This window comes from Homo sapiens, chromosome 14, assembly GCF_000001405.40.
Source record: "Homo sapiens chromosome 14, GRCh38.p14 Primary Assembly".
Classification (NCBI taxonomy): Eukaryota; Metazoa; Chordata; class Mammalia; order Primates; family Hominidae; genus Homo; species Homo sapiens.
In genome coordinates, this window is record NC_000014.9 from 71,701,027 (window position 1) to 71,714,770 (window position 13,744).

At 39.8% G+C, this 13,744-nt stretch overlaps 1 protein-coding gene across 58 annotated transcripts in view; it reads left to right on the top strand.

Annotated features, from left to right (window-relative positions):
* SIPA1L1 (signal induced proliferation associated 1 like 1) overlaps positions 1 to 13,744 on the top strand; it is a 420,734-nt gene that overhangs the window by 380,551 nt on the left and 26,439 nt on the right. For 40 of the 58 annotated variants that reach the window (XM_047431217.1, XM_047431229.1, XM_047431218.1 and 37 more), the window contains 4 exons: positions 1,355 to 1,479; positions 3,695 to 3,757; positions 4,196 to 4,314; positions 8,196 to 8,638. In XM_047431217.1, coding sequence (XP_047287173.1) covers positions 1,355 to 1,479; positions 3,695 to 3,757; positions 4,196 to 4,314; positions 8,196 to 8,638 — 750 coding nt within the window. The remainder of the gene's footprint in view (positions 1 to 1,354; positions 1,480 to 3,694; positions 3,758 to 4,195; positions 4,315 to 8,195; positions 8,639 to 13,744) is intronic. The other 18 variants (NM_001354288.2, XM_047431251.1, NM_001284245.3 and 15 more) reach the window with 1 other exon arrangement.

Consider the following 13,744-nt stretch of genomic DNA (forward strand, 5'->3'; position numbering starts at 1 on the left):
AAAAAAAAGTTTTATTAAGATAAGTGTTTTTCTAGCCCCTTCTACTTTGCAGATGCTTTATGTAGATTTTTCTCCTTGGCTTCTTATAATGGAATTGCCGTTTTACACATAAATTGAGGCAAAAATTCAGTGACTTTGTTCAGTCATATTGGATGGGGGTTGGAACTTGGCCCCAGGTCTTCCTATTGTTTATCTCCTGCCTTTCTGTGCACCACTTCCTGGTTTTACCCATACATGTATCAGCCTATAGCAAGAAGACACCCCACAAGCATCAGTTCATCCAGGCCCATCTCAAGCCATCCTCCCACCTCAGCCTCCTGAGTAGCTGGGACTGTAGTGGCCACCACACCAGGCTAATTTTTTTTTTTTTTTTTGTGGAGCCTGGGGTCTCTGTTGCCCAGGCAGGTCTTGACTCTTGTCTTCAAGTGATCCTCCTGTATCTGCCTCCCAAAATGCTGGGATTACAGGCGTGAGCCACTGCTCCTGGCCCCTATTTGGTCTTTTATTATATGGATTATGCATAAAGTTCATTAGTAACCACATATATATTAGTAAATTTCCATATGAATGTTTAAATTCTACACTCTGGCACTTTTTCATGGGCTCAGTCAGTATTTACTTTGTTGATATTGCTAGTCAAGGCATATGCTTTAATTAAGCATGTATTATTATTTTACAAAGGGAAAAATAAAACTGGCTCACTAAATAGCTAAATGTTCTTTCCAGAAATAAACATTTGCCTTTATTTTTTGCCAGTTTACCTGCTTCCAAATTGCCCTTCCCAAAGGCAGTTTAAAATTTATACAGTTTGAACGTGGTTTCTACATGATCTAAATGATAGTAATCTTTGTATTTCAGACCACAAAGCAAGTACTCAGAAAATACTTGTTCCAAGAACCACTGACTTAATGATTTAGTAAACTACCAAGTTAAGAGAAACAAACCTCCACAGTATACCATTTGGAAGATATATATGGAATATTAATATTTAGTTTGTGAACTTTTTCTTTTGGCTGTGAGTAAGTCTGAACTTGGCTGTACGAGGGCTTAGAAAATTTTGGTTTCTTATACTACATACCTTAGGTTAGCTCAGTCCTAATGGCTTCCGCCCTCATTGTTACAAGTTTGTTTACATAGCATGCATACCTTTTTGAGCAGAGTGGTGTATATTGACCACAACATACACATTTCCACACCCACGTAAACACGAACCAGGGTGTGTATACAAGTACAGACACATAAGCAAAAACCAGTAGTGCCTGTCATTAAAATTTAGTTCATTACACCCAGGACTGCCTTCCCCTCATGGGTAAGGTCCCTGATGTTGTCTTTGCCTTTGCGGAAATCACCACAGGTTTGGAGTGAGCCGTAGATCCCCAGCCTCCATTGACAGGCAGAACACCCAGTCAGATATTGGTGGCAGCGGAAAATCCACGCCTAGCTGGCAAAGAAGTGAGGATAGCATTGCTGACCAGATGGGTAAGTAATCAATTTCTACAAGAAGAAAGTTGCTTTTACAAGGTGACTTAGGTCACCTCTTGATGATGTTATCAAAACATTGTTATAAAAGGTAGCCCTAGTTAATAAATATGAATTAGAATTAAGTCTCTGTTAGATTATGTATAAGTGAAAACAATAAATAAGACCTAAGAGAAAAGGAATTCTAAGTGACCCCAAATTCAAAACTGGAAAGGCGATAGGAATTATTTTGAGCACCTAGATTAAAACACCAGACTACCAGACTAAGTACCTTCCTCCCCCTTGTTTATTTGTTTTTGCCTAGAATAAGTGCCTTGAGAGATTGCTTGGTATACTTAATGTCAATTTGAAAAACAAAACTACTAACAAAGTGGAAAAGAGATACAATTATTGTTTAGTCACATCCGTAGCTTGCTTAGAATCTCTTTCCTCCCTGATGTGCTTTTAAAAAAAATTCTTCTCACTCTGCTATTAAGCTGTCAGCTAAGGAAATGTCTTAGCAGTATGAAACAGCTGGGTGGAAGAGATTTGCATTGGTGAGCTTGTGCCCGGATTTCTACTGCATAGCCCTTTCTTTCTATATATATGTTGTTTCACAGTGACACCATAACACTAGTTGATACAATAACATTTTGCCATGAAACAAGATTTTCAACACAGGAGCCTCAGGGATTTGGTACCAACACAGTTGGTGCATCATTAACTTGAATCTAGATTGTTAGACTGTTGGATTTTTTCCTCCTTTGTTTAATCTCTAGTTGCATCAGTGTAGGATAAAAAGGTGTACATTTCAGGGCTGAAAAAGATAATCTTATAAGACAAGACCCATCTGTTAATCTTCTCTGCAAATTCATTGTTTTGTCCTGTTTTAATGACTTTGCCCAAGTAAGTGTACTAACCATGGACATAGAAAGGAGTGGAGATGTGTTCCACTAAGACAGGGGTTGAGGAAGAGAAATGGAGTTCCTAGGTTCTGAAGATATGCTTTGTTCCAGTAGCTTCAGTGAGATGTGCCTTGTTATTGAAGCCATCTGTCATTCTCCACTCTTATCCTACCCACCCCTACACAGAAAACCTGAGCATATTCTGATCTGCTTTTCTACTCTTGACAGAATGTTTTAAATCCCATATGTTTTGATACTGTTGAGATGGTAACGACACATGTGAAAAGGATCCCTTCTTCAGCATGACTTTAGCGGCTTTTTTTGGCTCCTAGTGCAGGCTTTGAACAAGGCTGCCAGCAAGCCCTTTGTGAGGCATGCAGTGTCATGCCTCCCACTCTCGGGAAGTCACACGGAGTGAGAAGGGATGGAAAGGGTAATTACAAGGTTCTTCCTAGACCCCTGTTCATTCTCTCACACAAACCTCCCTCTAGTCTTTTTTTCCCTGCATCCACTTTACTTTAGTGGCATCCCACTCTTAATAGATAAGACTTAAAAATGAATGTAGATGAATTTTTAAAACCTATTTGCTCATCTTTTTTGTAAGGTATACTTTTTTTAAAATAAGATACCCCTGAAGCCTGCCAAAGAAGCCTTTTCACTACAGTACAAGAGGTCCAAGTGGTGGCCTTTCACCATGGGAAATCCAACCCTTCAAATAAAATATTAAAATAATTTTTAAAATAATTTTTGATATCCCAGCATTCCAGAAAAATAACCAAGCCTTTCCTAACTGGCACATCAGAAGGAATCAGAAGGCTTAGCTGGTATAAGCCATTCCAGGGAGAAGTCAAGAAAAATAATTGTTGCATTTTTATTACTCAGTACCCAATATTGAGTATATAATGGGCTGACCATTCTCTACTCAGTTTATAAGAACAGCATTCTCTAATGACTTGCACTGATTGAGAATGTTTACGAGGTTCTTATTGGTTAGGCATCAGTGTGTTATCAACAGGTACCCTCCTGACAGTGGAGACAGGAGTTTAGCCTACTGACTTGGCTCACTTATCTTTATGGCTGTTCACTTTTCTGCCTCTGCTTTTGGAAATGGTTGAGAGTCAGAGTCAAGGAGTATTTTGCCCTGTCCTCTACATGTTAGGAAGGGTGTTTCAGAGGCCCAGGATTCTTGCTATTAGCTATAGTGGTGTTATGGAGGATAAATTCTTTATCTCTCACTTTTGGAACCCCATCTTGAACGCCAGCTTGGAGTCCAAAAGGAAGCAATTGTTTTAAGTAAACTAGTTGCTGTGTGTCTTTTCTGTTGTGCTCAGCTTACAGTTATAGAGGACCTCAGGATTTCAATTCTTTTGTCCTCGAGCAGCATGAATATACAGGTAAAATATTTCCAAAGTGTCATGGTAAGTAACACGTGATTGCATCCATGCCTGTCTAGGTAATGTAGACCAAGCTAGGTTAGCCACACTTGGCAATGAATGAATTTCATAAATTTAATTCATATAATCTAAATTTTTCCCCCAAACCAAAAGTTGATTCTGAACTTTGCTGCGTTGTTCATGGCCTTTGGTTTGGTGGTACTTGGCTATGCTAATGTGTATGACGTGACAAGTTGTCACCAGCTGCAAGCTTTATCCATCAGCCACTTAAGTTTCTGACCTGCTGTCTATCAAATAGACTCTTAACAAGCTTACTGCTGAAATGCAGAGTTTGCTGGTCAGTGAACTGAAAGATGCAATGGCAAGCCATCTTCATTTGTCACCATGTGCTTGTTTCTGCTTAGTGCCTGCACCATAATGTCCTATGCTGTATTCCAGAGCCAACATGCCATCTCCCAGCAGTATCAAAGGTACTGCCAGCTTTCCGAGAGAGCCCCAGTGGGAGATTAATGCGGCAGGATCCAGTGGTTCATTTGTCTCCAAACAAACAAGGGCATGTAAGTTAACTGTAAACTTAAAAAAGTATTAGATTCCTAGCAGTGTACCTTCCTTGCACTATGAAAATGCTCTGCTCTTTCCTCTGCATGGCCAAAGAGGAAATCATTCTGGCAAAGAGTGGTCGTTTGCTGCCATGGCCTTGCAGTTTCTGCTGCCATGGCCTTTAGATTGCTTTGAGATAAATTGTAACTCCTCATTGCTGTGCTTCTGCCACCCCCACAGGTCTGGTCATCTGATTCAGTCACTAACAATCCTGAAATGTTAGGAGTGGAAATGTGTTAGAAGTTGATTTTATTTGCTTACACAATTGCAAGCATGAGATGTGGTTGGAGCGTCAGTCCTGCTCCAGCCATGAGAGGGCTCCAGCAGGACTGATGCTCCAACCATATCTTTGATTCTGCTGCAGTAAAGGAGGTGTAGGAGACAGACAGCTTCCCCTATGCCTCCTCTACCGCTTCTCTTGTCTTTCATAGCCATACACATTTCATCCTTTCGCTATAGTAATACACAATTCCTTCTCACTTACAGTAAAATTGGGAATATGAGGTTATCATTCTCCAACCCCCCTCTTATTTTTTTCCCCACTCTTCTTCCCTGATACCGCTATTGGGACGGGACGCCCTCCCCATGCAGTTGATTTCCTTGGTGTGTCTGTTCACTGGAATGTGTATGTTTATATTCACGTCATTCTATAGAATGAGGAAATATTGTATTTCATGCTTACTAGTTCACTATGGAAGATGCCCAGAGAACTTTAAATGAGAGATGCATGTAAGTTTTGCTATAGAAAAATGAATATTGAAGCTAAAAAAAACAAGCAAGAGTTAGCATGCCCTACGCTTTTCTCTGAAGAGAAAGGTTTTCTGAGGAAAACCTTTCTATGAGGAAAATATTTACTGAGGCAAGTTGTGACAATGTGATATTGTCACAAATCTACTTGTAAATGATAGATTATCCCAATTGATCTATAAATTTCCCCTCCCTCGTTAATAATTTTTATACTGATTACATGGTAAAATAATATTTTGGGCACATTGGGCTAGATAAAATATATTATTAAAATTAATTTCACATGTTTCTTTTCTACTTTTTACTAGAAAATTTAAAATTACATATATGGTTCCCATTATGTTTCTGTAGAAATGGATTATATACTTTACACTCTTGATACATCTCAATTCAAACCAGCCATGTTAAAAGTACTCAATAGCCACACATGACTAAGGGTCACCAGATTTCACAGCACAGGTCTGGAGCTAAAGAAGTTCTGTCCTATTAAGAATAAATGAAGGCTTTATTACAGCACTTAGTAAGTTGTTATTGAGAAAAACTAGAGTAACACCAATAAAGTAAGTGGGATTGATTATTTTTTCAAGGGGAAGAGATGTTTCACTTTGAGGTGAAACTGGTGGCTGGGTACGGTGGCTCACACCTGTAATCCTAGCACTTTGGAATGCCTAGGCAGGTGGATCGCTTGAGGTCAGGAGTTTGAGACCAGCCTAGCCAATATGATGAAACCGTCTCTACTAAAAATACAAGAAATTAGCCAGGTGTGGTGGCACACACCTGTAGTCCCAGCTACTCTGGAGGCTGTGAGACAGGAGAACCGCTTGAACCCGGGAGGCAGAGGTTGCAGTGAGCTGAGATCATGCCACTGCACGCCAGCCTGGGTGACAGATCAAGACTCCGTCAAAAAAAAAAAAAAAAAAGAAACTGGCATGTCCTACTCCTGCCCCTCCCCTTAGCCAATGAAGAGCCTGCTCCTTCCTCTACCAAAAGACACACACACGCACGCACACACACACGCACACACACACAGTTCCTTCTCTTCTCTTTTAATCTCCAGCAATCATCTAGACTTCCCGCCTCCCTCTAATTTAAAATATTATTTTATTCAGATATCTTTTAAATTCTTATTTGGGAAACTCTATAAAATGTTCTTTCTAAGCATCTAAGCCAGCATATGGAAAGAGTTCTATATGTTTTTTAAATTGAGATATAATTCACATACCATAGTATTTACCCATTTAAAATATACAATTGAGTGAGTTGTAGCAGCATTTTCACAGAGTTATCCGGCCAGCACTGCTTGATTCCTGGGCATTTTCGTCACCACCACCGACTGCTTGTCATCCCCTGGGAGACCTAGACAGTCACCAGTTTCTCTCTCTGGATTTGCCTACTCTGGACATTTCATACAAATGAAATTATACAATATGTGGCCTTTTGAGCCTGGCTTCTCTCGCTGATTATGTTCCCAAGATTCATCCATGTTGTAGCATGAATCAGTACTTCATTCCCTTTCATAGCTGAATAATATTCCATTTTACGGATATACCCTATTTTTTAATCCATATATTAGTTGATGGACACTTGGATTTTTTTTTTGTTTTACTTTTTGACTATTATGAATAATTTGGCTGTAAACATCCACGTACAATGAAACATGCCTTTTTATTTCTCTTGGGTATATATATATACCAACGTAGAATTGCAGCTGTTTTCCCATAGTTACCACCCCATTTTATATACCCAACATTGCCAACATTCATTATCATCTGGCTTTTTTTTATTATAGCCAAAGTGGCATCTCGTGGTTTTGATTCGTATTTCCCTAATAACTAATGGTATTGAATATCTTTTGATGTGCTTGTTGGACATTTGTTTTTTGGTGTTTTTTTTTTTTTGTTTTTTTTTTTTTTTTTGGAGAAATGTCTATTCAAATCATTTGCCCATTGTTTAATTGGGTTATTTGAAGCACAAAAGTTTTAAATTTTTATGAAGTCCAGTTTATTTTTTTCTTTTGTTTCATATGCTTTTGTTGTCATAGCTAAGAAACCATTTTATAACTGGAGGTCCTGAAGACTTACACATATGTTTTCTTGTAAGAGCTTTATAGTTTTAGCTTTTACATTTAGATCTTTGATCATTTGTGAGTTTATTTTTCTATATGGTAAGGATCCAACTTTATTCTTTCTTTCTTTTTTTTTTTTTTTGAGACAGGGTATCACTCTGTCACCAAGGCTGGAATGCCGTGCAGTGGCACAATCTCGGCTCACTGTAGCCTCAACCTCCTGGGCTCAAGCGATCCTCCCACCTCAGCCTCCTATATAACTGGGACTATAGGCAGGCACCACCATGCCTGGCTAATTTTTGTATTTTTTGTAGAAATGGGGTTTTGCTGTGTTACCCAGACTGGGCTTGAACTCCTGAGCTGAAGCAATCCACCTGCCTTGGCCTCCCAAAGTGCTGGGACTATAGGTGTGAGCCACTGCCCCAGTTCCAACTTTATTCTTTTTTGCATGTGAATATTCAGTTGTCTCACCATCATTTCATGATAAACCTAATTTTTTCCCCATTGAATTGCCTTGGTACCTCTGTATAAATTTCACCTCAAAGCATGTCTTAGAAGGCTGTCTCCTAAACAGAGGCTAATTGGGGAAGGAGGTCTCTCTAGACATAAGTCTTATATTCAGCCTTCTATTTACTCTGAACAAATAGGGCTTTTAGAATTAACATGCTTTCTAATTATAATCCCTTTGGAAATGTCATTTCCTTTCTCTTTTAAGATACTAAAACTTCAATGACAATTTAAATTTCTTCCTGACTAAAATAATCTCAATAGTATTGATACTTTAGCATAAATCAAATAATGAAAAATAGATTAAAAAAAAAAAACACGTTTCTAGTACCCTTTACCATGGATACTTCTGAATGGACCATAGTGACATAGGTTCCCTGTCTTACTGTGACTAGTCATTATTGGAACTTTTAGGCCTTCAGAGCCCTATAACTAGAAATTAATCACAGTGTCATTTCTGTTATTCTCTTGTTCAGGAAGCAAAACTTTGCACTCAAATAAATTCTGCTTCTCTTGCAGTCTGATAGCCACTACTCGAGCCACTCCAGTAGCAATACTCTCTCCAGCAATGCGTCAAGTGCCCATAGTGATGAGAAGTGGTACGATGGGGACCGCACAGAATCCGAACTCAACAGCTATAACTATCTGCAAGGCACCTCTGCTGACAGTGGCATTGACACCACCTCTTATGGCCCCAGCCACGGCAGCACAGCCTCGCTGGGGGCTGCCACATCGTCACCTCGCTCAGGGCCAGGCAAGGAGAAAGTGGCACCCCTATGGCACAGCTCCAGTGAAGTAATCTCCATGGCAGATCGGACTTTGGAGACAGAGAGCCACGGCCTGGACCGGAAAACAGAGTCTTCCCTGAGCTTAGACATACACAGCAAGAGCCAAGCCGGCTCGACCCCTCTGACAAGGGAGAACAGCACCTTCAGTATAAACGATGCTGCTTCCCACACAAGGTAACCACCCTTCCCCGCTGTCTGATTCCCAGCCCAGACCTAAGCCCAGTTCCCTGGCCTCAGCCCACTTTACTTTGCTCAATAGTGTATAAGGAAAGGAGGTTTTTCTGCAGTGACAATTATTTTTATATGTTTAATGCCCTTTATTTGCCTTCAAAATACTTTAATCCTGCAATTTTAGTGCATTATTTTAAACTGTGAGAAAATTTTGCAGATTTATTCTTTTTAAAGTTGGATTTGATTTTTAAAATAATGTTCCTGGCTACTACAATTTGAGAGGAAATTTGTAATTTTGTAATGTTGGCTTTCGGTGAGTAATAGGGAATGTATACTGGGACAAGCTTTTGAAGACTATGTTTTTAAAATATTGACCATATTGTTAAAAGACAGAGGTCTTTTCTGAGTAACAGAGCATCGTTTGCGATGCCAAGCACGTCCTTTACGTGCCTCTCAAGCCGAGAACCTCACTTACCTGATATTTACATTGTAACTTTTTTTCAGTAATTGGCTCCTGGCAGCAATGGGTTGAGAGTGGGGGATGTCCAATAGAAACGTGTAGCTAAAATTAGACATACCTTTCAGAATAGGAAAGTACACATTCCCCTGTATCCTTGGAGATCACACCTCTAGATAAAATAAATACTATTTGTCGTTTCCTCTTGATTGGAGCCTAAAATCCCCAATGTGACAAGATCCACATAGGGAAGAAGCATTCCATCACTGTCTTTTTAGGCCTGTTGATCTCTGTGTGGTTTCTCCTTTTATCTTCGATTGTTGTCAGTCATTGATCAATGTGTGAGACCATCTAACCTTGCTGTCTTCTGGGTCTGCTATGATTATGACCGCAAGAAAAATAGTAGAGGCTGGGCGTGGTGGCTCACGCCTGTAATCCCAGCACTTTGGGAGGCCGAGGTGGGCAGATCACTTGAGGTCAGGAGTTTGAGACCAGCTTGGCCAACATGGTGAAACCCCGTCTCTACTAAAAGTACAGAAATTAGCTGGGCATGGTGGCAGGCACCTGTAATCCCAGCTACTTGGGAGGCTGAGGCAGGAGAATCGCTTGAACCCAGGAGGCAGAGGTTGCGGTGAGCCAAGATCACACAACTGCACTCCAGCCTGGGCAACAGAGTGAGATTCTGTCTCAAAAAAAAAAAAAAAAAAGAAAGAAAGAAAGAAAAAGAAAAGTAATAGAGAGGCTTAATTTAGTTTTTATTTTTCAAATGGAAATCTAGGCACATAATCTGTCAGTAAACCCCAGATAACCTTAAGGAGAGAGGACATCCTCTACTTAATTTGGATTGCTTTCACTTGACCAGCTAAGTATTTTGTTTTCTCATGGAGTCTCTATCGCTACTTATCATTGAGCTTCCCTTCATTTAAAATGTCAGGCCCCATGGAATGAAGCCTTTCACTAGTTTTGTTTCTGTTTACCACTACCACATTGCAGATCTCAAAATGATGGTGATAGGTCTGGAAACTCCATGGCTTCCAAGCAAAAGGAAATTGGGAAAGTAGTCTCAGTATTCTTGAGTACTATGTATTCCGTTCCACAATTCAGAAAGTAGATTGTTTGATTCAAATGGTATAAGAGATGTGTTTGCCAAAGTAGAACAGGAAGTGGGCATCAGATGCCATAACCATATAGACAGAATCACACAAGACAGAATGATGACACTCGCTGGCTGTTCTTGGCACATCCCCATCTCAGTAGACTGTGCATTGACTTAGAACATTTTGCATATCTGAATAGTTTCTCTCTGGTTTTTAAGTTTAGTTTGACTCCTATTTCTTTGGTTTTCAATTTGTCATTTTGAAAGGAGGATGCCTTTTTTTAAGAATGTCTTCCATCTGAAAATATTTCTCTGGTCCAATGTGATGGCAGAAGAAAGTTGGTTATAGAGATCTTGTCTCAAATGGCATCACCATGGAGTGAGATTGGAAAGAGCTGGGCCCCTGAAACCAAAGCACAGAATGTGCGGCTGTGCCATTATCTAACAAATCCCAGGGGATCAACAAAGCTCCCTGAAAAAAGCATCTGGGTTTGCATTATCTGAATGTGCTGACTGGAGCTGCCTGAAGGCCTCAAAGGATTATCTAAATTTTCTGCTTCTAACTGGAAGAATGCAGAATCATTGAAATCATCCTTTAGAAATAACTCTCCTATTGAAAGTCAAACTTACTAGAGAAGAGAAGAATGTGGCCATTCAGGGAGGGTGGCAGAGCTTCTCACCCACTCATTTGAGTCACATTCATTTCTAGACTCTGGTAAGTAGGGATGTTTTGAGACTTTGGTATGTTGATCTTGGCAGAGTGAGTTGGATAATCAGAGCTTTAGCAGCCTGCCTTTTCTGGAGGAAAGGGGACTTAGCCACCAAATGCACATTGCTATAGAAAAACTAAAATCACAGCAAATTAGAGTGTTTGTGTCCTCAGAAGACAGGAACAGCAATTAATGTAGAGATATCTTGACAGTGCTTAAAAGAGCTTGTACCTGGGACTCAGTGACAAAGTCTAAATTACAGTGATTAAGTTTCACTGCATCTTTCTGGCTGGGCTCCATTCCTACCTTCTCTGTCCTCTAGTCTCCCTCTTGATGATCATGCAGATCTTTTGTAGCTCCTCATGAGAGCTACATTAATACAGGTTGGTAATTACATAGAGTTGCTATATTTGAATGTCATTAAAAGAAGCCACACATACTGGTAACTTTCTATAACTAAAAACGTCTATTAATTGCTCTAAATTATTGCTCCCTAGAATATATGTGTATCTTTATGAAGCTTGGAAATTTAGGGAGAAAATTTATTTTATTTTATTTTTTGGTAATGGCTGTTTCACTTTCAGATCTTAAAATGAACCACTGAAAAAAAAAAGATTAGTGGTAAGCCTAGGAGAGGTGAAGATAGTAGTAATTTAAGGACATTCTTAAATTTAAGCAGCATTCATTTTCTTCTTAGCGTTCTGGCCTTGGCAGTAGGCAGTGCCAGTTTGTGTGGCAATCAAGGACCTCCTCAGTTAGTCCAAAATCCTCTAGACCTGCTGACCAATGCTGTTTCTGGTGTTGGAGCTTAATTTGAGAACACACATGAGAAAGCTAAAAACCCTACCTCATGCTTGCACATAGATATCTCTTCTGTAACTGACTGACCTGACTTGTTTTGGTGTCCACGGTTGTTAGCCAGCTATTCTCCAGGTCTCCTTCCTCTTGCTTCCCTAAGGCCCCCTCAGACACCTGTAGCCAATTACTACCCACTTATGCGATCACATATACCTTTTTACTGCCATCTAGTCAGTACAAGAGGATTTTTCACCCAATATGTTCATCCTAAGTATATTTGCATAGGCCGTGCCAACATGAGCATAATAGATTGATACTCAATACATGCCAATGAGCAAATAGGAATAACTAGCTGGGCACGGTGACATGGGCCTATAGTCCCAGCTGCTCAGGAGGCTGAGGCAGGAGGATCATTTGTACCCAGGAGTTAGAGGTCAATCTGGGCAACATAGTGAGACACTGTCTCAAAAAAATGAAAGAATGACTTTTCTTTATGTTTTTTGCCTGATGACTCAAACCAGTTCAAAAGTTACATAAATCCTCAACTCCTGGCTCTTAGAAAACCACTAACTATTTTGAAGGTTATTGTACAGATGCATCAGTATTTGCACAGAGCTGCAGTGCTTATAGGTGTAGGTATGAGAGCATACATAGAGTCTTTGTGTAGCATGAAGTCTTAGTAAACTGTCATGTCTACATAAAAGTTTGTAAACTCTACGAAGTATGACAAGGAAAAACTTTAGAACAGCTAATATACAAATATCAGTCAGGATCTAGATATATGTTGGTCAGTGTCTGACATTATCACTGGAAGAACTGGTTAAAGACCAAGAAAAATGCCTGCCCACAGTTGTCAACACAGCTCAATTTCATGAATGTGCTTTTTCTGGTTGATGGTTCATGCCACAAAAGCTGTATGTTTCTTGAGAGCTGAGGAAAAGAAAGGCTTCTTATGTGTGGTTTACATTGAACATTAGGACTGCCTCAGGCTACTCTGGCACACTGGGCTGTCTGTGTGCCTCTGTGTATGCCCTGTTCCCTGCACCCTCATTGGCATCCTATGGATGTGAGAAATATGCCTTCCATCTTTGTTTAGAAGTTACTCCGTTGTCTTTACCTGTAACATTTCCTTCTCTAAATCTTTTCTGCCTGGAAATGTTTTTTTTTTTAGTTACTAACAATTAATTGCCTCTCTTTTATATTTTTTCCTTAAGATGAGAATGTTATTTTTCTAAATATTATGGACTAACTCAGAATATGAAAATTCACCCTCTAAAATAACAAAACCAGAACTTCTCTTAAGAGATGTGGTTGACTCTATTTGCCTTAGCCTAGGTTGTGGGTATGGATCATTTTAATTGGCAATTTTTGCTTTGCATCACCGCATACAATAAACATTCACGATTATGTTCTATGTTGCTGTTACATGGCAGAACTCCAGGTGATTTGGCCTAAGCGATCTTGCCACACCTCTTCCAGCTTTTGGGGGTGGTTATTTTATCCAGAACCAGTTACTTTTAGTAACCTCAAAGACTGAAAAATAGAACCACTGAGGAAGAAATTTCAAGTGAACCTTGAGAAAATGAGCCCTCTGTCAAGCCACAGATGCTTGATGCAGATCTCACCAACAAAACATTTTTTTGCTTTGTTCTATGAAGCAACTAATCCATTCATTCAGTTGATGTAGCAAGCCCAAATTCTTCAAGTGTCATTAAATCATAAGGCCAAAAGGAATTCAGAAAGGGCAGAGAGCCCATTCTTCGTCATATGTAAAGCATTCTACCAGGATGAGAATTCATACAATTGTTTTATTGGGGCAGTGGGGAGGGAAATAATCTCAAGAGATTTCACAGCTTTTCTCTCTTTTTTTTTTTAAAGACAGGGTCCCTCATTCTGTCACTCAGGCTAGAGTTCAGTGGTGGCCCTGCAGCTCACTATAGCCTCAACCTTCTGGGCTCAAGTGATCCTCCCACCTTAGCCTCCTGAGTATCTGGGACTATAGGCATGCACCACTATGCTAAGCTAATTTTTAATATTTTTATAGAGAC